Genomic DNA, 23,593 nt, shown 5'->3' on the forward strand with positions numbered 1-23,593 from the left:
AGATGTGAAAGAGGAATTTTCAGAGATGAAAAACCATTTCCAGGTTTTCACAGGGTCAAGTTGGTAAGGTGGGAATTTCTAGTTTTTCAGGAAAAATCTAGAGTAGTGGTCACAAAAGGTATGTTGTCCTCTCGATGCCTCAGGGTGAGAGGGAGGACACCTTCATCAGAGCTGAGAGAGGGACTCCCGTGGGGATGTGTCCATGGAGATTTCTAGATGGCACCCAGAGATCATCTGTGATTGAGCCGGCACTCGATACTAGCAGCACAAGAACCCAGACCAGTGAAAGTATGAGCAGAAGAGGCCAGCCAAGAAGTGACCACAGGCCACACACTACCACACCCACCATGGTCCAAGGGCCTGTGTCGGACTGAGGAGTGTCCTGCTCTTTCCCAATTCCACTTTGAAGCCCTCACACACAAAAACAGACATTTATCCCTCCCTGCCACTGCCAGATGACAGTTGCAAAATTAGAAATCGGACTCGGGGAAGAAGGCAGGGAGGTACCTGTGAGAAGCATGAGGGAGCCCTGAGATGCACATTATGAGCTGCAGTGTAAAAGTATAATAATATATTAATTCCAGTGAAACTCCCAAGAGAGACTGTATTAAACCAGGAGTGACTGAAAACAAATTTGGTTACTAAATGAAATAAATAAGCTGTTGGTTCCAGGCAGATCGTAGGCCAAAGTGGAAAGCTGGTATTTGTTATGAGTAAAAGTGAGGGCAGCCTCCTAGGTATACACCCCTGGTGGGTGGAGTTTGTCTCTCACTCCATCAGTTCCCCATTCTTTTTTTTTTTTTTTTTTTTTTGAGACAGAGTCTCACTCTGTCACCCGGGCCTGGAGTGCAGTGGTGTGATCTCGGCCCACTGCGCCCTCTGTCTCCTGGGTTCAAGTGATTCTCGTGCCTCAGCCTCCCTAGTAGCTGGGATTACAGGTGTATGCCACGACACCCAGCTAATTTTTGTATTTTTAGTAGAGACAGGGTTTTGCCATGTTGGCCAGGCTGGTCTTGAACTCTTGACCTCAAGTGATCCACCCGCCTCGGCCTCCCAAAGTGCTAGGATTATAGGCGTGAGCCACCGTGCCCAGCCAGTTCCCCATTCTTTATGATAACGTACAGTCATATCAAAGAAGAAGTTCAAAGAAGAGTTCCTTTACATTTGGGCTGAAACCTACTCTTGGACCTTCACCTGGTAGCTCATTAGTGTTAACCTAAGAACCCTGTTTTTCACCTCAGCAGGCCTGTTACTCTGGTAAACGCCCCAGGACATGACTGCTCTGTCTGCCCTTCCATACCTCTAGACGCTGGCTTGGATTGTTCTTCACCCTGAATTGCCTGGTTCTAACTTTAATTCCATCTCAAATTGGATTTCCTCTCTTGCCTCTATACAATCTTCTCTACCATCCCTCGTGCTAGTAAAACTCTTCTTCCAGTTCTAACTAGTGTTGATAGGCCCATATGGTATTCTGGGCTTTGTCACTGAAAATCCTGAAATTCTTTGCTTCAGTCATTTGCAGTGATTCAGGTTTATGGAGCTTCTCATGTTACACATGGCTACTAGAGTGGTGTACCCATATGGGGTTCAATTTCCTAACTCCCTTCTCCCTGACTGCTAATGCTTTTCCTTCTGTTCAGGCTGGGCACTTCAGATCTCAAACACAATTTGTTAGTATCCATCTCCTTAGCTATGGTAGAACAGTGACTTCTCCAGGGATGTTTCTGAGTTCGAGACTAATGTTCCATTTACCACATCTCAAGATCCTGTTCCTGTTTTGCGGAATAATCCCTGCTGCACTGTTTTTATTTTGTTTTTTTCAAGTTACCAGGCTTTGTGCTCTTTTTCCCTGTAGTTTTTCTCCCATGTTTATCTATTGTTTCCTACGAATATATGCTGAGAGTCAGTGGGCCTAGTGTGCATAATTCAAATGTGGTTCGACAGCACAGGGACACAACAGACATGATTAGATCATTCATGTTTAGATCAGGAAGGATGGGGGAAAAATTTGATTTGGGGCTTGGGGAGCACAGTTAACGTTTTTCCAGGATAGCCAAGGAGGATTTATAGTAATTTTTAAAAATTGTGTCAGGCCAATAAAGTTTATGAACTAGATCCCGTCACAAAACTTAGATTGAAAACTCATCCAACAATGGCTAATAGCTGGAAAGAAAATGGTTGCCCTATGTTTCAAAACAAAAGTAGAGATTCAGTTGAACTGATAAATATGAATGTGTTTATACAGACAGGTGAACATAAGTTTTCAGATTGGGGGAAAATGCAAAGTATACACATCCCATATATTCATGGCCAGAGAATTCTATCTTGTTCATCATTCATTCATTTCATAAATAGTAGGTATAGGCATATCAACTACGTGCCAGGCACTGTGATAAGCCCTGGGGCTACAGAAATAGGAGACATGGCTTTTGGTCTCTTACTAGGAAACAGAATAGCTTCAGGCTGTGTAGTGCAACCATGGTCTTCTGTGCTGGTTGTGTTAGGTAGGGAAGGTGGGGGTGGAGAGGAAGTTCAGGGAAGGCTTTCTGGAAATAATGATAGCTGACTGAATATTGAAGGGTGGGGACAGGGTTTTAGGAACAAAGAACAATTGATGCAGGCATGGAAAACAAGCATGGAACATACCACATATGGAACATGTGGGTGTAGAAGGGAGGATGAGTGAAACAGGGCAGGTAGGATGGGCACAGATCGAGATGGGGGGTTTTTGATGTGTTAAGAGATTCAGATTAGTTCTCTGATGTCTCTAGAAGGCCATCATTAGTCTTTTTTTTTTTTTTTTTTTTTTGGTGGGGTGTATTTCAAATACTGAAAAAGTCCTTTGGGCTCTTGGGGCTCCCCACACTCATGGTTCCTTTCCCCACAACTCACTGCCCTCCTCCCAACAGAAAATCTATTTCGAGGACAGTATGCTTTTTAAATGAATAACTAACATTGTGTTCTCAGCTAACTGCAGAACCAGAGGAGCTGTTTGCATCTGTCTATGCAGATTGAGTTTCTTTAATCTCACACCAGGCCTCCAGCCACATGGAAACAAGGCAGTTATCTGCAAAGCTGAACTAGATCTCATCTCTAGTGGACTCCACTTCCCCCTCTCATATTTATCCCACACCAGCCTCATGGTTAAGAAGGACCGTCAGGAATGTTTTTATCAACTCCAAGCTCTAATTCATATTCCTCCAAGTCTCTCACCCCACCCTCCCAACCCTGCCCCCAAGATTTCATTGAGATTTCTCCCAACAGTTATTTGGAAAAAAGGTAAAACAAAACATGTTCAAGGTCTTGGTGCTTAGCCCAAGGGGCTCCATGTGCTGGGACACTGATGGGCAGGGGCTTCTGCCTCTCTAACCCATGCCCAAGCCACCTCCTGACCCCTGGCTGCAAAAGATGGGAGGGGCAGAAGCCATCACAGGACTTGTAACTGCCCAATGGGCTCACCTTACCCGGTGCCTAGACAGAGCTGATTTATCAAGACAGGGGACTTGCAACAGAGAAAGAGTAAAATTCTCAGAGCCGGCTGTGCGGAGACAGGAGTTTTATTATTCAAATCAGTTTTGCCCAAGCATTCCAGGATCAGAGATTTTAAGGATAATTTGGCGGGTGGAGGAAGGCCAGTGAGTCAAGAGTGCTGATTGGTTGGCTGGAGATGAAACCATAGGGAACTGAAGCTGTCCTCTTGCACTGAGTCAGTCAGTTCCAGGGTGAGCCACAAGATCACATGAGCCAGCTTATCAATCTGAGTGGTGCCAGCTGATCCATCAAGCAAACTATCTCAAGCACTGATCTTAGAAGAAGTTTAGGGAGGGTGAGAATCTTGTAGCCTCAGGCCGCATGACTCCTAAACCGTAATTTCTCATCTTGTGGCTAATCTGTTAGTCCTACAAAGGCATTCCAGTCCCTAAGCAAGAAGGAGGTTTGTTTTGGGAAAGGGCTGCTATCGTCTTTGTTTTAAACTATCAACTATAAACTACGTTCTTCCCAAAGTTGGTTCAGCCTACACCCAGTAATAAACAAAGACAGCTTGGAGGTTAGAGGCAAGATGGAGTTGGTTAAGTCAGATCTCTTTCATTGTCTCAGTTACAATTTTGCAATGGCGATTTCAGACCCAGAGGATCAGCATCTCAGGATCTGGCAGAGCCCCGGGCAGGATCATTCAGCTTGGCCACCCGCTGGCTTGCTGGTGATGAGTGAGGATTTTCTGGGCAGATCCTGTGTGGTGGGGATGTGGTCACCAGTCATCAGGTTCTTGTCTGGTTGTGCACTTGGCAGCTGCTTATTCTCCTATTTGGCTTTGGCCATGTTGTAGTCTCCTGAGGCAAAGTACTTTTTCCCTTTTCGGAGTCCCTTCATAAGGAAGCTGGGCCCCCAGGCCTTTGTCCTAGGCTTGGATATTTGGCCTTTAGCTTTTCCTTCTCCACTGTCTCAGGGAGAGTACATTCTTTCTCCCGCATGCCCTGCTTCTTCTTGCCTGTCTCCTCCACGGTGTTCTCGTTTAGTTTCTGGGACATTGTGGGACTGGGACAATAGAGTATAGGAGGTCCAGGAAGTCAACCAACTGAGAGGTGGGGAGGGGAAACGGGACATCCTGCGATGCTGCTTTGGTCCCTGTCAATAGGGTTGCTCCTCATCAGTCATCTTAAGCAGGGCGTGGTCTAAACGAATCTTCATTCCAGATAGCTGAGGCAGAGGCAGGGAGGCTGGTAGGAGACTGCCGTTGTGATCTAAGCAGGAAATGATGAAATGATGGCAAGGCTGAATCCAAGCAGTTCTCCAGGACAGAAGGACACTCAGAAGATATGTGACTGCATGGAGATGGGGGACAAGGCAGGGCAGTGCTTTGGATATGGCCCAGTTTCCAAGCTTGTGAAACTAAGTGGGTTATGTCCCATTCACTGAGTTAAGAAGGAACGAATGAGTGTGGGGTGGAAGAGAATGAAGTTTTTTCCTGAATGTGTTTGTGTTGGGGTTTGTTATAATGAGTCTCAGGGTCTGGGGCCATCAAAGAAGGGATGATCATGTTGCTTCTGGAGCATAAGAGAGAAAAACCCAGGTTGGATATTTAGATCATTGGAGGAAAAAAATAAAAGGGCAATTACAACATCTTGTTAGTTAACCTCTCTTGCCCCTTGCCTCCTGGTCTGCAGACTGAATTGTAATGGCTCCTACCTCAGGCAGTAATAGGACAAACTGAGATAACAATATGTCAGCTATGAAGAACACACCTGTGCAATGTGCAATGACTGCTGCTTATTATTAATATTGTTATTAATTTGTTGAAGGTGGAAGAAGCACTTAGACTATTCATGTAATTTATTTCTAAATTTAAATTTAAATGACAGTTCCTAGAGCTACTTACAGAGACTCCAGAGAGAACCCACCTTCTCAGAGGTTCCCCTGTCATCACCCAACCAAGTGGACAAAAAGCTGTTAGAGTCACCAAGCTGTTTTTTTGTTTGTTTGTTTGTTTGTTTACATCATTGCCGGTTAGATGGCATCTTTAATGTCAGGGCAGACTCACACATAACTAAGGCAGTGCTATAAGGAGTAGAAATAATAACTGAAAATGTGTTATCAAGCAGTAGATGAGTCTCAGGATTCTGGGAACATATGGTTGGTATTGGTTTGACTTTAGAGAAGGTCACAGAAAAAAAGTTTTGTGGACTCCCCGGTGATAACTGGGGGCCTGGGGGAGAGAGGCAGTGAACATCATCTGGCCCAGAAGGGAATGTTCTGGGTCACAGGCAGTTCCTGAGGATACTTGGGGATGTCACTTTGTTCATGCTGTTCTAAAAGTCAAGGTGGATGTTGGGCTGAACTTTTAGGCTGCATTCACGTGATTGGGGTAGAACATTTTAACACATTGCCGTTTGCTCTCATTGAGTCATGTGCATTTGTTCATTCTTAGTCTCTTCTCTCTATTTCAAATTATTTCTTCCCACCTGTTTGGAACAACATCAGCATTGCATATTGGCCTCAAATGAGTTAAGATTCCTAAGTTCCTAACTAGCCATAGCACAAGGTTTTTCAGCTTGACTGGTCTCAAGGCTTTTCTCAGAATCCATCGATTCTTCCAGAAAACTTTGCTCAGGACATGCAGATTGCAATAATTTGTTTTCCCCAAAATGTATTAAGAATTATTTATTTAAAAATATAAAAACTTCCTCTAAACAGTTTGAGAATCTCATTGCTGAAAATATATAAAATGGGTACACAATTAATTTCTCTCCAGATGTGATACTATAACTAGTAACTTATTTAAAGTTGAAAGAGAATAATTTGCATCTGGAGGAAGGTGTTGTAAATGCAAGTTCTGGTCCTTTCATGTTCCTGATGTCTTTGGAATTTGTCTTTGTCTTTAGAGTAGTGCTGTTTTGGACTCAGCTCCAATACAGATGACTTCCACGCTCCCCTTGGACTGATTAAGTGAAAATGAGAGAATGAAATAATATTATCCAGGAGATTCACATACCCCACCAAGCCACGCAGAATGTACTTTTAATACATAGGGGTAGTTTAGACACCTCAAGTCTGTATGGATACCTCAGGGTTTAATTGGGTTTTGTGGTGATGCCCCAAGAGCTTCATGCCATTTTTAGATATATTTGTTCAAAAACAGATCAATAATTGATTTAGATGTGGGAGGTAAAGATAGATGCGCACTAACTGTGGATGGGCTCTGCAGTGAGAAGGCAGTGCTGGGGCTGCTAATGGTGGCTCAGGTGGATGCACACTGAAGGGGAAGGACCAGGGGATGGGGCGAGGCATTGCTGTCATTCGTCTTGAACGGAACAGTTGTTTCATTCTGAAAGTGCTTGAGAATATACTCTTTGGTGCTTTGAGTTTGGCTAATGGTTCATAGTCTCATTGTTCTGATGAAATGACTTCAAACTCATTGTTGTCATTATTGAGAAACAAGTTCTCTCCAAATAAGTTTGAGGAGACATTCTCCAAGGAAACAATCTCTTAAATGTGAGATATTTGTGAACTTTTTCCATAAAATACAGCAGTGCCCCCTTATTTGTGGTTTTTCTTTTCACAGTTTCAGTTGCCTGAAGTCAACTTGAGTCCAAAAAATGGCATTACTACTCTTGCACTTTGGAGCCATGGTGAGGTAAAATACGGGTGACTTGAACACAAGCACCATGATACCATGGCAGTGGCTCTGATAACCAAGACAGCTCCTGAATGACTAACAGGGCTGGTAGCGTCTACAGTGTGGATACACTGGACACAGGGACGATTCACATCTCGGGGAGCAGGATGGCATGAGATTTCATCACACTACTCAGAACAGTGTGCAATTTAAAGCTTATGACATGTTTATTTCTGCAGTTTCCCATTTATTTCACAAGGCCTACGTCATCCACCTCACTTCATCTCCTCACGTTGGCACATCACAGGAAAAAGGGTGAGCACAGTACAATAAGGTATTTTGAGAGAGAGAGACCACATTCACATAACTTTTCTTACGGTGTATTGTTATAATTGTTCTATTTTATTATTAATTGTTGTTAATCTCTTACTGTGCCTAATTTATATAAATTAAACTTTATCTTAGGTATGTATGTATGGGAATAAGCATGGTGTATGAAGAGTTCAGTACTATCCTTAGTTTCAGATATCCACTGGGGATCTTGGAACATATCCTTCACAGATAAAGGAACTACTGTAGTGATATCAATGCGTTAATTCTGGAAAAATATTACATTTCAGTCTTGGTGTCAAATTCTAGCAAAGAATAATTTTTAGGACTATGAGTAAACCAAGGACCAACAATGAAGTAGATTCCATGTCACTAGGAATAGAAGTTTTGGGGATGTGTGTTCATGTTTTCATATGACTTGCACCTGTCTGGAAACAAAACTGTTTCTAATTATTTTTAAATAACTAGAGTTCAATCTAATGTAAACTATATACAAAAGCCAGATAGCAATCACTAACTTTGTTACATCATAGGCATAGATAATTTTAATGAAACATATCCACCAAGTATGTCCAATTTCTCTGATGACAGTGCTAACTTACATGCGCATCAAACATTTGATAAATGAATATGTTAATGACTGTAATGTCTTTTCTGGGAATGCCTTTGTTGGGGCTCAACACATTGTTAAGGAGAAGAAAGCAGATGACTGAGAGGAGGTTTGTAAAGTGGGGATGGGGAGAGTAGCTGGAAGCCATGAACAAATTCATTCTCAGAGGCACAGATCCCCCTACATGAGCTAGGACCTATGCTAGGAGCTAGATTCACAGATATGGGGACGCTATGGGCTTTGCCATTCCCAAGCTTCTTGTCCAGTAAAACCACAACTCAGAAATCTTGCTTAACTAAGTTTAGCAAGTTATCTGCCTATCTATCTATCTATCTATCTATCTATCTATCTATCTATCGATGTGTCTATGTATCTATGTATCTATCATCTATCTGCCTATCTATCTATGTGTCTATCTATCATCTATCTACTGTCTATCTCTAGATAAATATATAGATATATACACATAATGCATAGTATTCAATAGTACTATGTGAAAATTATGTTAAAGGAGATGTATTAGTCAGGGTTCTCTAGAGGGACAAAACTAATGGATACATATCTATATATGAAGGGGAGATTATTAAGGATAATTGACTCACTCGATCACAAAGTGAAGTCCCACAATAGGCGGTCTGGAAGCTGAGGAACAAGGAAGCCAGGAGTGGATCAGTCTGAGTCTCAAAACCTCAAAAGTAGGGAAGCCAACAGTGCAGCCTTCAGTCTATGGCCAAAGGCTCGAGAGCCCCTGGCAAACCACTGGTATAAGTCCAAGGGTCCAACAGCCAAAGAACTTGGAGTCTGATGTTTGAGGGCAGGAAGCATGCAGCAGAGGAGAAAGGTGAGTGCCAGAAGACTCAGCAAGCCTGCTCATTCCACTTTCTGCCTGCCTTTTCTAGCCATGCTGGCAGGCAATTGGATGGTGCCCACCCACATTGAAGGTGGGTCTTCCCCTCCCAGTCCACTGACTCAAATGTTAAACTCCTCTAGCAACACCCTCACAGACACACCCAGAAATAATACTTTGCATCCTTTAATCCAATCAAGTTGACACTTAATATTAACCATCACAGGAGATAAATCCCTGGACTTCAAGAGAACCTATTGTCACCAATCATTTTAGGCATCATTTCATATGGTGAGTAGAACTGTGCTATATATTATATTATGTGCAGACCGGGGTTAGAAAGCTATGGCCCACAGACTGAATTAGGCCCACTGACTGTTTTTATAAGTAAAGTTTTATTGAAACACAGCCATGCCCATTTTTAAAATATAATGTCTCCAGCCGCTTTCTGACAAATAGTGGCAAACAATGACAGAGTTGAGTTGTTACGGTGGAAACAACATTCTCCAAAGCCTACAACATTTTCTCTCTGGCCCTTTACAGAAAAAGTTTGCTGATTTCTGGTATAGGACAATATTATATAATATGCTTTCATTTTAAACATTGGGCACCACTGGTTAAGTCTTATTTTCTTCCAAACATAACAACTATATGAAATCTAACCCTACAGAGCCCAGGAGCCTACACACCACTATTTAGTTCTTACACCTCATTGATATAAGTAATTTTTAATATCTTGTTATTATTTCTAGAAGTCTTTTTGGTATGGTTCTTTCCATATCTAGCAGTTTGTGATTTTTTTACTTTAACTGCAATATGTAGCAGTTTGTGAGGGATAAAATAAAACCCCCTTTTCCTTCTGTTTAAATATATGGAATGTCAGCAAAAGCCTCCTGTTAGCAGTAGCTGAATCTAAGAAATGAACCTTTTATACATTGGCTTACACTATTTTGTCCAAAGCCAAAAATGGATAATGAAGGAGGAAAATGACAAACGTTCTTTCCTAAAGAGAAGCATCCAAGTGTAGAGAAGACCACAAGTGACTATAAAACGAGGAAGCCCCGTAGCTAAGGGATTCACAGGTAAGCCCAGGACATGTGGACTGTGGAAGGCCATTAATGTGACATGCTCTGTGGTATTCAGATACCTTGCTGCATGCTGGGTTCGGCTCTAGGGAATTAAGAAAAGAGGAAGATGGATATGGAAAGGTCAATGGCAATGGGTAAAGACATGGAAAACTATTTCTATAACCGTAAAGGAGACTGAGTTAATTTATCTTGAAAAATAAAAAAGGTAAGAAATGGCTTGCCGTAATTTTTCTACCATTTATATCCATTATGATACAAAAAGTAAACACTTGCTGGTTGATTGATTAAAACATATGTAAGATAGAGAGTGGCTTAGTAAAAGGTATTTTAGTTGCAAAGACAGAAATACAAGAACTAGTAAGTCTAACAATGTATCTTTATGACTCTTGAACTCCAACAAAGACTTTAACAGCAAGGAGTTAGAAAACTTAGGCTGCACATGGGTCTTGGGAATGATTGGAACAACGTTCCTAGATTCTGTCTGGATTCTCTTTCCAGCAATACATGCAAACTTTCTTCTCTCTCCTTTCAGTCTGCCCCTCTCCTTACCGCTTTGAGCATGGCAGATGATAGCTTTTGAAATTTGTATCAGTTATCCTTGGCCACAAAAAAAAAAAAAAAAAAAAAAAAAGACATATCTCAAACTCTTTTTATGATCCCAGGGAACAGAAAATCCTGGGGAAAAGATGCCCAACTTGGGTCAGGCATCTGCTCTTGGGCGAGTCACCTTAGTCCAGTGAGTGAGGCCGTGTGGTGATAGTGATAATATGCTGCACCTGCATTAACCATACAGATGAAGGAAGGAAAACTTAATAGCCAAGGGAAAACTGGCAGAAATTTCTAAGTGAACACTGCATTATTTCTTTTTGGAAGAAATCTTCACTGGAAAAAATCCAGAAGAAATAGCTCAGTCTGCAACATGAAGGATTTAGGTTAGAAAAAAATGAGATTATTCTGACATTAGAGCTTATTACACACTGGGATATGTTACTGAAAGAAGCAGTAAAATGTCTTTTCTTAGAGGTTTTTAAAAATAGAATTCATTTCTCATCAGTTGAGATGCAAATAGTTTTCAAAATGGATTAGACACACAGAAATTTTGTTTGACGTGCAAACTCTTGACAAGGTCCTGCCTCTTTTTGCCAGTAAATTCAGCTCATTCTAGCCTTTTGGTACAATTCAACAAATATTTATTAAATGTCCACTAGGTGCAAAGCATTAGGCTAGAGCTAAAAGGTTTATATTATGTTATGGAGATTTAGAAAACTGCAAATGGGGTGGGCACGCTGGCTCATGCCTGTAATGCCAGCACTTTGGGATGCTGAGGTGGGCAGATCACTTGAGGTCAGGAGTTTGAGACCAGCTTGGCCAATATGGTGAAACCCTGTTTCTACTAAAAATACAAAAATTAGCCAGGCATGGTGGTGCATGCCTGTAGTCCCAGCTACTCAGGAGGCTGAGGCAGGAGAATCTCTTGAACCCAGGAGATGGAGGTTGCAGTGAGCTGAGATTGTGCCACTGCACTCCAGCCTGGGCAACAGAACAAGACTCCATACCCCACCCCCCCAAAAAAAAATTGCAAATGACTGTAATATGTGGATAGTTGAGGCCATTGTCACAAAGGAGATTTAGATTTATTGCTGTGGAATTCTAAAGCATGAGAGAGAGTCATGAAAGAGAGAAGAAGAGAGAGAGATGCTAACAGAGAAACAAGGAAACACAGAATTAGCAAAGTGTTAGTTGATAGACTGAGATTTGAAATGCTCTTTGGGGTAAATAGGATTTCAGTAGGTAGAGATGTGTGAAAAGGCATTTGGGACAGTTACAAGTTTGTGAACAGTGATTTGGATCATGTTCAGGGAAGCAGAGAGTCATTCTTTTAAATGGAAACCTATGGTACCAGCAGGGAAGAGATAACAGAAAAGATTACCAAAAAAAAAAAAAAAAAAAACTGGGACCATCCTCTAGAAGGCCTTAAATATGCTGAGTATTAAGTTTTGTTTGTTTTGTTTTAGGAAGATTAGTATGGTAATGTGACCACCCAACAAGTTCTTCCTGCCCCACTGCACAAATAAAGACCACGGCATTGCGGTAAAGAAAGAGTTTAATTGACGTGAGGCTGGCCATGCCATACAGGAGACCAAGTTACTACTCATATCAATCTCCTGGAAGACTTGTAGGTTAGGGGTTTTTCAAAGGCAGTTTGGGGAAGGGGGTGGGTGTGGCTAAAATGGATGCTTGCTGCTGATTGGCTGGGGCAGAGATGAAATCATAGTGGGTTGAAGCTGTCCTCTTGAGCTGACTTACTTCTGGGTGGGGCAACAGAAGCAAGAGCAAGGTTGGTGGGGGCCAGGTGGAGTCATGGGTATCAGACCTGCAAAAAACCTGGGAAAATGTCTCAAAAGGCCAGTCTACAATAGTGATGTTATCTGTAGGACAGATCTTGTGACCAGTCTATGCCTTAGCAGAATTCCTGCCCTTCTCCTAGCCTGATGGCCTTTCATTAGCTTTACAAAGGTGATTGAATTTTGGGGAAAGCCTATTATCATGTAAACTATAAACTAAAGTTAGCTTAGCCTAAGACCAGGAATGATTAAGGGAAAGGCAAGATGGGGGGTTAAATCAGACTTGCACTGCCGTAATTTTCTCACTGTTATAATTCTTGCAAAGTCAGTTTTAGTACCTCTGTGAGACATGTCATGCCAAGGAAAGAGCAGAAGTTGGGAAGAAGAATTTGAAGGTCATTGCAGAAACTTATCCTGAGTCATTTAACTAGGTGGTGGTAGCAGAAATGGAAAGAAGAAACTATATGGGAGGGAGATGGTAGGGAAATAACCTACAGGGCTGATGGATTAATGGGTTTTATGTATTGTGTACTTTCAAAACACTAAGCATTAATCAAAAAATAGAATTCTTTAATTTCCTAATTCCTTAAATACTAGACCTTTATTTACATATACATTTAAGCCTCATATCAACCAAATAAATAGGTCAGCCTTTATCCCCATTTTCATATAAGCAAACAGATTTAGAGCTCTTGAATAATTAGCTGAGGCCATATTGCTAGCAATCTGCTAAGTGGGACTCTGAACCCAGGATGTCTGGCTCTATTGCTCATGTTCTTAACTACACGCAGCTCTTCTCTAATTGAAGTATAGAGGGAAAAGGATGAGTGTGAGAAAACAAGGAAGTTTCAACCCTGGTGGATTGAGAGGTGTTCCAGTTATGCATTGGTACATAATAGACTACCCAAGACCTAGTGGCTTAATACAACAACCATTTTGTTGCAGTCCGTGATTTTGTCTATTAGAAACTTGGACAGGCTTGGCTGGAGAAGTCTATTATACAAGACATGGACAAAGGACACTCAGTGCCATTCAGCTGGCAGATGGGCTAGTCTAGAAGGAGCAAGATAGCTTCATTCCCAGGTCTGGCACCTTGGTGGGGATGACTGAAAGTCTGGGTTCAGCTGGAATGAAAACCAGAGCCCTGCATGTGGCATCTTCAGCAACTGGGTCTCAGGCAGTCAGTGGATTATTTTTGCCTGTTTTGGGACTTTATGTAAATGAAATCATATGGTGTGTATTGGTTTCTTTGACTCAATATTATGGTTGTGAAAGTCATCCATGTTGTTACATGCAGTTGTACTTCATTTTCATTGCAGTATTCTATCACATTATGTAAATATACTACATTTTAATTATTCATTCTACTACTAATGGACATTTGGGTCATTCCCAGTTTGAGCTTTAATGAATAGGGCTGGTATGAATACTCTTGTATTCATACTCTTGTATATTGGGTGAAATATATTCGCATTTCTGTGGAGTTATATTCCTAGCAGTAGAATTGCTGAGTTGCAGGATATGCTTCTGTTAGCTTTAACTATTTTCTATACTGTTTTTACAAATTTGCACTCTTGCCAGCAGTGTATGAGAATTTCAGTTGTTCCACATCCACTGTTAATATCAGACCTTGTTAATTTTAGCCATTTTAGCTTTTCTGACGCGACTGTTTTGATGTAGATTGACCCCAAATCAGAGTGAGGGCGTCTCTCTCCCACTGCATCATTCTCTGCTTAACTAACTCTCTATGCCTTCCCAAGAGATTATGAAAGACGCCTGTCTGATTCTTCCATTTAAGTATTTTCTTATCTTATAGAAATACGTGGGATATTTCTCTTAAAATTCTACTGAAGCTTTGAAAGAAATGGTTCAAATGGACCTTACATTCAAATAACCTCTCCTGATATTTAATCAGTGCTCTTTCCACATCTTTCAGCCAAATAACATTCACTTGCCTTTGCTGTATATGTTCTTATGTAGAAATAATAGTCTCAACATCCATCACAGTGCATTACATGTGGGAAATATACTTCCAGGTGAAAACTTGTTGAATTTTGGATATTTTGAGGATTTTCAGATTTAGTTCAACCTCATCCAATATGTTTCCTTTCTAAGTAACAGACTTAAGAGTAAATTTGGGCTCAGCTGCCAGGAAGTGAAAGAGAAAATGATCTGTACATGCAGATATGGATGTAGCAGAAGATGTTTTCCTAAATCGCAAAATCAAAAGAACGATGTCTACACAGGACTCAGAGGAATGAATGCTTTGAAGTAATTTAGCAATGTGGGAATGGTCAAACATTTTCTTCTGTAAAATCTCCTGCTCTCTGCCCTTTCATTTTTTTTCCGTTCTCATTCTTTTTCTTCCCAGGTCTGTGATAAGGCTAGATAACATAAGGAAGTCACTTGGCACCGTGTCCAGCCCATAGTGCTTCCGGTCCTGCTTTTGATGATGACGATAGAGGAGATAGTAGTATCTCCTTCTTTAAGATATTTTCAAGTATGAAAGTAACTGAGTTAGTGTATATGAAGTATCTTCTAGAAAGTTTGACATATAGTGATCTTCAGAGCAGATGCAGAGGAAGCCAGACAAGAGGGATAAATAAAGCAGGCAAGATGATATCGCAAGAGATAAGACAAAACTTCTGTGCTCTCTGCATTTGCCTTTCCAAGAAGCTGGTAGTTTAACTTTCCTTGGGCTTTCTGCAAAAATGTTGTGCATCTGAACTTGAGCAATTTTGAGTGTTTCTCTTCCTTGCAAACAAATGAGCCTTGACTTGAGCAGTCCCTTTAGTAGGCATGTCATACATTATAGTAGTTTTTGTGACCCTCTCATCTCTCCAACTGGATTATAAAATCCTCAAGGGCAGAGATGTCTCTAATATGTCTTTGTATTCTGCCTCGTACTTAGCACAGGACGGGAGAAATGTCATGTTATCCTGCTGATTAAGTCCATTAAGGATTCAGGTTGCATAACTCTCCTAATGGGGAATGGAGAATAAATTCTGCAAGTGAGTTTAATGTTCACGAAAATCATCAACAGCAAATGTAGATGCATGCCCTTTGGCCGTGCACAAAATGCAAGGGAGAGGGTGGTCTTTTCCTAACTCTTTGTGAATTACCCTCGCTAAGTTCTCACCTCAGGGGCAGAATGCAATTTGTTTTTTCTCTTATAGATTTTTTCTCAGCCTTGGTGTGAAGCCTCCAACTGAGTTGGAAGATCCAAACTGGGACAGGGAATTTAAAGAGGGGACCACAAAATCGATTCCAACAGAACTTTAAGTTTACCCCAGGTTAGCTTCATCTGTTGCACACAGAGGCATCTGCTTAACAGATCATTGTAGATATGATTGCAAATTCCACATAAAGGGAATATTTATAGGAAGGTCTGCCTTTCTGAATACGTAACTAAAAATTAGTTTGTTTTGTAAAACTGTACTTTAGGCCAAACTCTGATTCACTGTATTAAGAGTCCCAAACTAACCAAATGAGAGGGACATACTAGCAAAGACATCTTCATCCACATGCGGGAGGGAAGAGGGATACTGCCAAGTTCTTGCAGAAGGACAGCACGGTCTCTTTCAGCTCCTTAAATATGTTCTGATGAGGCACTTCAGTAAAACATGCCCATCTGCGTGTTCCACTGGACTAATGAATATGAAGTGTATGTTCAGCTATTGATCTGAATTAAGTCCTAGGACCAGAATTTAGTGTCATTAATGATCTCTTTAATGAACGCAGGCAGAAACCATTATCAAATGATGATTTTTTTTTTCATCTTGGAAAGATTATTTTAAATCCAAACACATTCTTTCAACTCTGTTTTAACCCCCCAGAGATATATTTTAAAAGCCATTGTGAGAAAGTAAATGAGAACATTGTCCAAAGCCTGGGAGTGAAGCATTTGGTAGGAACTGGAGGTGGGGAGAAGGAATGTTAAATTCCTCTTTCTTGAACCATTACAGTACTTTTTCCTTATTTGGTGCATGTCTGGAGGGACAGGGCTTGGGCAGGGGAATGCCCCTTCTACTCTGCTGACAAAAAGCACCAAGAGTGGCTGGAAAAGGCTGTAGAGCACTGGTTTCCAGATTTTGTTGCACCTTGGAACCACTTGGAGAGCTTTAAAAAACACTGATGTCCAGCTCTTACCTGCAGACATTTTGATTTCACTGGTCTAGAGGGTGATCTGGACATGGGGATTTTGAAAACAGTCAGCTGGGCATGGTGGCTCACGCCTGTAATCCCAGCACTTTGGGAGGCTGAGGCAGGTGGATTGCCTGAAGTCAGGAGTTCGAGACCAGCCTGGCCAACATAGTGAAACCCCGTCTCTACTAAAAATACAAAAAGTTAGCTGGGTGTAGTGACGGGTGCCTGTAATCCTAGCTACTAGGGAGGCCGAGGCAGGAGAATCACTTGAGCCTGGGAGGTGGAGGTTGCACTGAGCTGAGATCGTGCCATTGCACTCCAGCCTGGGCAACAAAATGAAATTTGAGCTTGAGCGAGTTTGAGCGAAACTCTTACTCAAAAAAAAAATAAATAAATAAAAATAAAAATAAAGAATAAAAATAAAATAAATAAAAAGAGTCTTGGCTTATTCTGAAGACAGTCTTTTAAAGTGGCCAAATGAAAAATAAATGACTGTGTCAATTCAGTTTATTGTAAACATTTACTGAGCACATACTCTGTATAAAGCCATATGCTATGCTTTAGTAATGCAAACAAAATGTAAAATATATACCTACCCCTGAGGAGCTCACAAGTTTAGCGGCGAGGGGGGCCAGTTACATGGACAGATAAATGCAATGAAATTACAACTCAGTTAAATACAAAACATTGTGATATATACAAAATCAAAAATTGTCCCAAAGTAGTGCAAAGTACAGAAAAAGAGACAGGACCAGGAAATACCTTACAGTGTAATTTCCAGATATAAAATAACAAATGATCAGTATTTCTGAAACTTTGAGGGCCAGAGGAAGAATGGGTTGTAGCAAAGAACTCTATCATAAGGGATTTTCTATGTTGTAATAACATGAGGTTTCATAGGAATAACCAGCATCTTAGAATGGGGTCTGTCTTAGTAATAGTCTAATGTAAAACAACACGATTATTTATTTATCTTGCCTGCCTACTTTCCGTTCTCCTTCCTTCCCTCCTCCCCTGCTGTCCTCCTTTCCTCCCTCCTTCCCTCCTCTCCTTCTTCCCTCTCTCTTTTCCTCCTTCCTTTTCTACTCTCTTCCTCCCTTCCATCCTTCTTTCGTTCCCTTCTTTCTCCCTTCCTCCCCTTCTTTCTTCCTTCCTCCCCTCCTTCCCTCTTTCCTTCCTTCTATCTGTTCATCTCCCCATGTTATACCTACCTACCTACTTCCTACAGAGGCACCTACAACTTTGCCTTTCATTGTTTAACTGAGTTATAGATTGTGAAGACTAGAGTGACTTAACCACCCACCCTCCTTTCAACTGTGTGGTTTATTACACATATGTATCTCATTGATGTTTTTTGTGGACATTGCACTTGTGTAATTTATTCTTTTCTCATTTGGGTAAATATGAATGCATTGAAATAAAGAGGACTAGTTTTTTTTTTATTTCAAAATTATATTTAAAAGGAAAAAATAATGAGACAACAGCAAGAGTCACTATTTAACTCAATTTGCTGTATTCTTAAAACTGGACCTTACAGTAAGCACTATAAGTAAGAAAACAGCTACTTTCCAATGGAGATATAAATAACAATGCCAGATGAGCTGTTGCTCTTAAATCTTACAGTGGGACTTCATTAGTGTGACAAGTGAGAAGTAACAAATTTATTCCCAGAACCAGAAAATGCCATTCAGGATAAGTGTTTTGATTAATTCATTTTTAGAGAGGTAGGGCTGTTTTAATCATGACAACTCTTATTTGCCATAATAGAAGCATCCGTGAATTTTTTTTTTTTCTGAACACTTCATGTGTATTTACCATTCCACTGTCATGATCTGGTTATTACTAGGACTGGGTTGCTATTAATAATCAACACATTATTTTAAAATTGAACAAGCTAATATCACCAGCCTGTAATTTTCTGGGTTTACACATTGAATCTATTACCATAATTAAGTTAATAGTATTTTAAATGAATGTTTATTTTTTATGGCTTTGTGTAGCAAACTACAATTAGATGTTTGTCTACATACACATGTTTTAGGAGTGTTCACTCTGTAAATGGTTTTGTATGAATCTATTGTAAGAAAAAGTTCAACCTCTTTTGCATCTCCGATGAGTTAGAATTAAGTGATACTGCTCCTGTCAATTCATTTTTTTAAACTCAAAAGTTTCACTTTATCTGTTTATGCCTCTTTAGTTTGTCTGTATACCATGAACACATATCCTTCATCTTTCCCCACCTTAGTATCCACTAGGTTTTTTCCTCTCTGGTTGCCTATCATTAGTCAATTGTTTTTCATGCTAATCAAAGAGCAGAGAAAACAAACGATGAGCATACAGGTAAAATGACATTCATGGGTTTCTTAGTTCTTTGGACACTCAGAGAAGAGAATAAAATAGCAGTTTGAATCATTTGTGGTTCTGCTGTATCTGTAATCCACCCATTTGACATAATGTATTATTGGAGTGGCTAATTGGAAGTTCATAGGGTGTGTTTCCATATGCTTATTATAAAGAACAGATGTAAGAGTCAATTTCCTGTTTGAATGGTGATTTGAGCACTGAGCAATTTATTTAATCAGAAATGTCTTTATTATTCATAAAACTGTTCCAGTCTGATCCCATGTGTTTGTTTCAATTCTGAATGTGACTCTCTACCCAGGGCTGATAAACTCTGTTGTTCACATTAGGATGTTAAACAGAAAAGGTCACGCATCTGATCCCATGTGGCCTAATTAGTGTCAAACAAAGAAAATGTCTGTAAATTGTTATAGGCTGCAGTACCAGAAACCCACGTTACTTACCTTATGGGGATTAAAATTGCCACAAACTCTGTGCCAGACCATCCCCATGGCTGTGGCAATGGTACTAAAGCCACATTCCATTGGTGGTAGAGATGGCAGCCAGGAGTAATGTGTCGGATATTGTCAGTTATCGCTCAGCATCCATTTTCACCTTTTTCAATGTGTCGTACTGTGCCACAGGGGCTTGAGGGTTAAAAATCAACTTTCCTGACTCCTTTGCAGCTAGGGTTCTAGATGTAAATGATGTTCTGACAATTAGATGCACTTGAATGAGATTTGAATAAAGTTAAGGCAAAGGCCATCTTCTTGCTGCTATTTTTGTTGGTGAAGATGGCTGCAGAAATGAGTATTTTCAGGTGTCTGTGGCTGTCAGACTTGGCCTTGTAAGTGTCTAGAAGCAGTTGTGGCAGCAACAGCAATGCCTTCCTGACCTCTGCTTGCAGCAGCTATAGTTTTATGTCCCTGTACTAATTTGTTCAGAGTGAGGCTCCTGACTCCTGATCTACCATGCTGTCTAGGAATTTTGCAGCCAGCTAAGCTACTGCATTCAATCCCATTCTACATGAAATACCAGGTTTCTGTTTCCTGCAGTCAACTTTGACTGATATGAAAATAGTCATAACCACATAAATGAAGAGTTATAGTTTACTGAGTATCTATTAAATGCCAGACAAATTGAGGATCAGTGAGATAACTTGTACAAGTTCATAAAGCTAACGAATGGCAAAACCAGTGTTTGAGTTTCGGTCCATCTGTTTGCAAAGCTAGTACACAAAGGGCAGAAACTGTAATATGTCCATTTCTATTTTCAATTTTTAAAAAGAATGAAATCATGTCCTCTGCAGCAACATGGATGCAGTCAGAAGCCATTATTCTAGGCAAATTAGAACAGGAATAGAAAGCCAAATACTGTATGTTCTCTCCTATAAGTGGGAGCTAAACATTGGGTACTCTTGGACATAAAGATGCAACAATAGACATTGAGGCTACTAGAGGGTGGGTGGAGGGAGGGAGGGGAGCGAGGGTTAAAAAACTATTGGGTACTGTGCTCACAATTGATGGGACCACTCATACCCTAAGCCTCAGCATCCTGCAATATACACATGTAACAAACCTGTGCCTGTGCCTCCTGATTCTAAAATAGAAGTTGAAATTATTTTTTAAAACCCCACATTTTAGAAATCCCCAAGGGCAGCTGGGCACGGTGGCTCACACCTGTAATCCCAGCGCTTTGGGAGGCCGAGGCAGGCGGATCACCTGAAGTCAGGAGTTTGAGACCAGCCTGGCCAACATGGCAAAACCCCATCTCTTCTAAAAATACAAAAATTAGCTGGGCGTGGTGGTGCATGCTTGTAATCCCAGCTGGTCAGCAGGCTGAGGCAGGAGAACTGTTCGAGCCCAAAAGGCGGAGGTTGCAGTGAGCTGAGATTGTGCCACTGCACTCCATCCAGCCTGGGCGACAGAGCGAGGCTCCCTCTCAAAAGAAAAAAAAAAAAAAAAGAAAGAAAAGAAAAGAAAAAAGAAAAGGAAAAAGAGGAAAAAAAAAAGAAATCCCCTAGGGCTAGGGATATTTGGAAATCCCCAAGGGTTTGTGGTTTTCTAAATTTCTATTCAACATTTTAGAAATCCCTAAGGGAAGGAGACTTTTGTATCCTCAAGTGCTTGAGGTCTATAACATCACTGACAAAAGAACACATTCTAGAAGAACCAGATAGAATATGTGCACCCTTGAGACTGGAATAGCTGCATCATTGAAGCAAGTCCATATCAGCTTCCACCTCCATGGTAATACTTGGGATGCATAGATGTAGAATCTAGTCTCAGAAGACAATGTGATTCTTTAGCCCATTCAATTTGTTCATCCATTATTTTTTGTATGCATCATCTCAACCCTATAGGGGGCAGTTAATGGGTTCGGTTTCATGTTTCAGATCCCCTTGACCTTGTTTGTATGTATATCACAGTGTTTATATAGTCAGATCTTTCAGGGACTGAAGCAAGCCCCGAAAAGACAAAGTGCATCATTAGCTGGGTTTTTCAGGATTTCGTGGCCAGTGTAAAACAAAAGTGGGAGAGTGATAGGGCAGAAAGTGCTCTATTATTTCTGTTGTCAACAAAGACTCAGTTACCTGGACTGAGAGCACTGCCCTTCCCAGCCTGCAGGAAGACTCAACGCCGGGGTCCTATGATGCACAAGTGAGAGAAGGGGGATGTTTTGCCTGAGAAGGTATGACTCTGGGGGCCAAGCAGGAGGGGATGAGCTGTCACATGGGAGAGATGCAGGCTAAGAACTAAAACTAATGAATGGAAGTTACAGAGAGGTAAGAAATTTTTTTCCAAGAACTGCCTGGGACAAACACAGCTACTCCAGGAAGCCACTTCACTGCTGAAGGTGTTTTGTGCAAAGGTGTGCTGGCAGTTAAAGAGGAATGCTGCAGATAAGATTCAGCTCCATAAAAGAGTGTGAAGATGTCTCTCATCCCTGAAGTTTATAGGATGCTCCCCACAAAGAACTGCAGATTTCCTTTCTAACTCATTGACTGGAGCTCAGGGACACCATGGGTTGAAGCTATGGCTCTGGAGGGAACTAGCCTAGACTTACATCCTGGTCCTGATATTTACTTGCTGTATTAATTCTGCACTTCAGTTTCTCCGTCTGTAAAACAGGGGAAAGAACAGTGTCTCTCTCATAGGGGTAAGTGTGAAATCAAATCATTCAACCCATGTAAAGTGAATTGAGCTTCTTATTCCTATTGGCTATGTGGTGATTGACATCGGAGCTCCCAAACAGTTCAATGGGAGAAGGTTGCAAATGAATTCTGCACTCAGATGCTCACTCAAATGTCTTGAGAACTAGGAGAACCCAGGGGACCCTGTGACAAATTTTCAACACCATTTGGTCCAGCCAAAGGGTTGTTTCAGACTGGCTTTCTCAGTGCTTGAGAGAGAATCTAAATATTTCTCAAGGCATGCATTACAAAATGTTCAAGTAGCTGCTCTATTTTTGAGAACATGCACATAAGACAGGCCCACAACATTGGGGGATGTTCGAGAAAAGAAGGGAGACCGTGAGCCCAGGTCCAATTAGGGATCAGCACCTTCTGTGTCCCCGATCTTTACATGGATAATGAAGGACTGGGGAGCCGCGGTTGTGGGCTGATACCATGGCAACCCCTCTTCCATGATTGTCACATACAGATGAGTGAGTTTTTAATCTCAACATCAGTCCTGAATCTCATTCATTATTTTTAAGCCCTAAACCAGAAAATAAATATTGCTTGTCTTTCTGCCTTTGCCTAATAAGTAACTAAAGTTTACATAAAGACTTGGCTTACTTTGGTTGTTTCTCTGTTGGGTGTGTGATGTCCAAATTTAATTAAAGGCCATGCTGTCGGCTATAAACTCCTTTAGTGAGAGAAAATGACAGGAAGGCCCAGAATTTTTTTTTACGAGGCTTGTGTTGATTGAGTTAAAGCATGTGTTCTAACTGAGCTCCCTTGGAATGAGCCGTGCATTGTTCCATGCCACCTGGCTGCAAAACAAACACAAGGAATTTGGCTCTGACATGAAGAAACCCTCAGTATTAGGGAAATGGAGCTGCATTCCACATGGAAGCATGGCAACCTCGGGCTCTGTTCCTCCCCCTTTGCCCTCTCACCAGACCCCTGTGCATCTCTGTTCTTTCCAGGAGAGGGAGAAATAAAAAATATCTCAATAGAAATGGAAACCAGTGTTGGGTTTTTTTGTTTTGTTTTGTTTTTCTAGCAGGGTACACCACTCACTCAACCATACCAAATATAAGTGTGCGAGGCTTGGAATGAAGAAAGAAATGGTTACTTTTTAAAAGCTAGCAATATTAACAGGTGAATGTCATAGGCCATGAGTCTGAATGTGTCAGAAAAGAACTGCAAGTCATTAGACAAGACCAATAGTCCTCCTGGAGGGAGGCAGTGAACCTCAGGACTGTGGGCACTGGCCTGCCTTTGTCTTGGGTATTGACTTGCTGAGTGGCCTCTAGGAACTTAATTAAGTTCCTGGATTCCTCTTTTGACAAATCCAGATTACAAACAATAACCACCATGGCCAGTGCTCTTGAATTCATATGATAGTAGAGCATTATAAAATCAGAATTCTACTTAAGAGCTGATAATTATGTAGGAGAGAAGAGCATGCTGACTGGGGCAAAGGGGCCAGGTGGTTAACTTTTCACGGTTCAAGAGTTGATAAAAAGCATATGAATTACAGGCCAGTGAGAAGGACATTTTTATGATTATTTGGAAATTTTTGACTCCATCCGGAACAGAGTTGA

General features: G+C 41.1%; 1 protein-coding gene and 1 pseudogene across 5 annotated transcripts in view, besides 1 other annotated feature; one reads left to right on the top strand and one right to left on the bottom strand.

Moving 5' to 3' along the window:
• The window catches only part of MACROD2 (mono-ADP ribosylhydrolase 2), a 2,057,682-nt gene that overhangs the window by 1,619,793 nt on the left and 414,296 nt on the right, over positions 1-23,593 (top strand). The gene's annotated exons all lie outside the window — the stretch shown is intronic.
• On the bottom strand, positions 4,187-4,477 carry ENSAP1 (endosulfine alpha pseudogene 1; annotated as a pseudogene).
• Positions 12,225-12,778: an enhancer, noted in NCBI's record as "OCT4-NANOG hESC enhancer chr20:15608178-15608731 (GRCh37/hg19 assembly coordinates)". NCBI's record gives its function as "activates a minimal SCP1, AML or CMV promoter by ChIP-STARR-seq in naive and primed H9 embryonic stem cells {active_cell/tissue: H9 hESC(naive and primed)}" and the evidence as "EXISTENCE:reporter gene assay evidence [ECO:0000049][PMID:30033119]".

This window comes from Homo sapiens, chromosome 20 (genome assembly GCF_000001405.40).
Source record: "Homo sapiens chromosome 20, GRCh38.p14 Primary Assembly".
Taxonomy (NCBI): domain Eukaryota; kingdom Metazoa; phylum Chordata; class Mammalia; order Primates; family Hominidae; genus Homo; species Homo sapiens.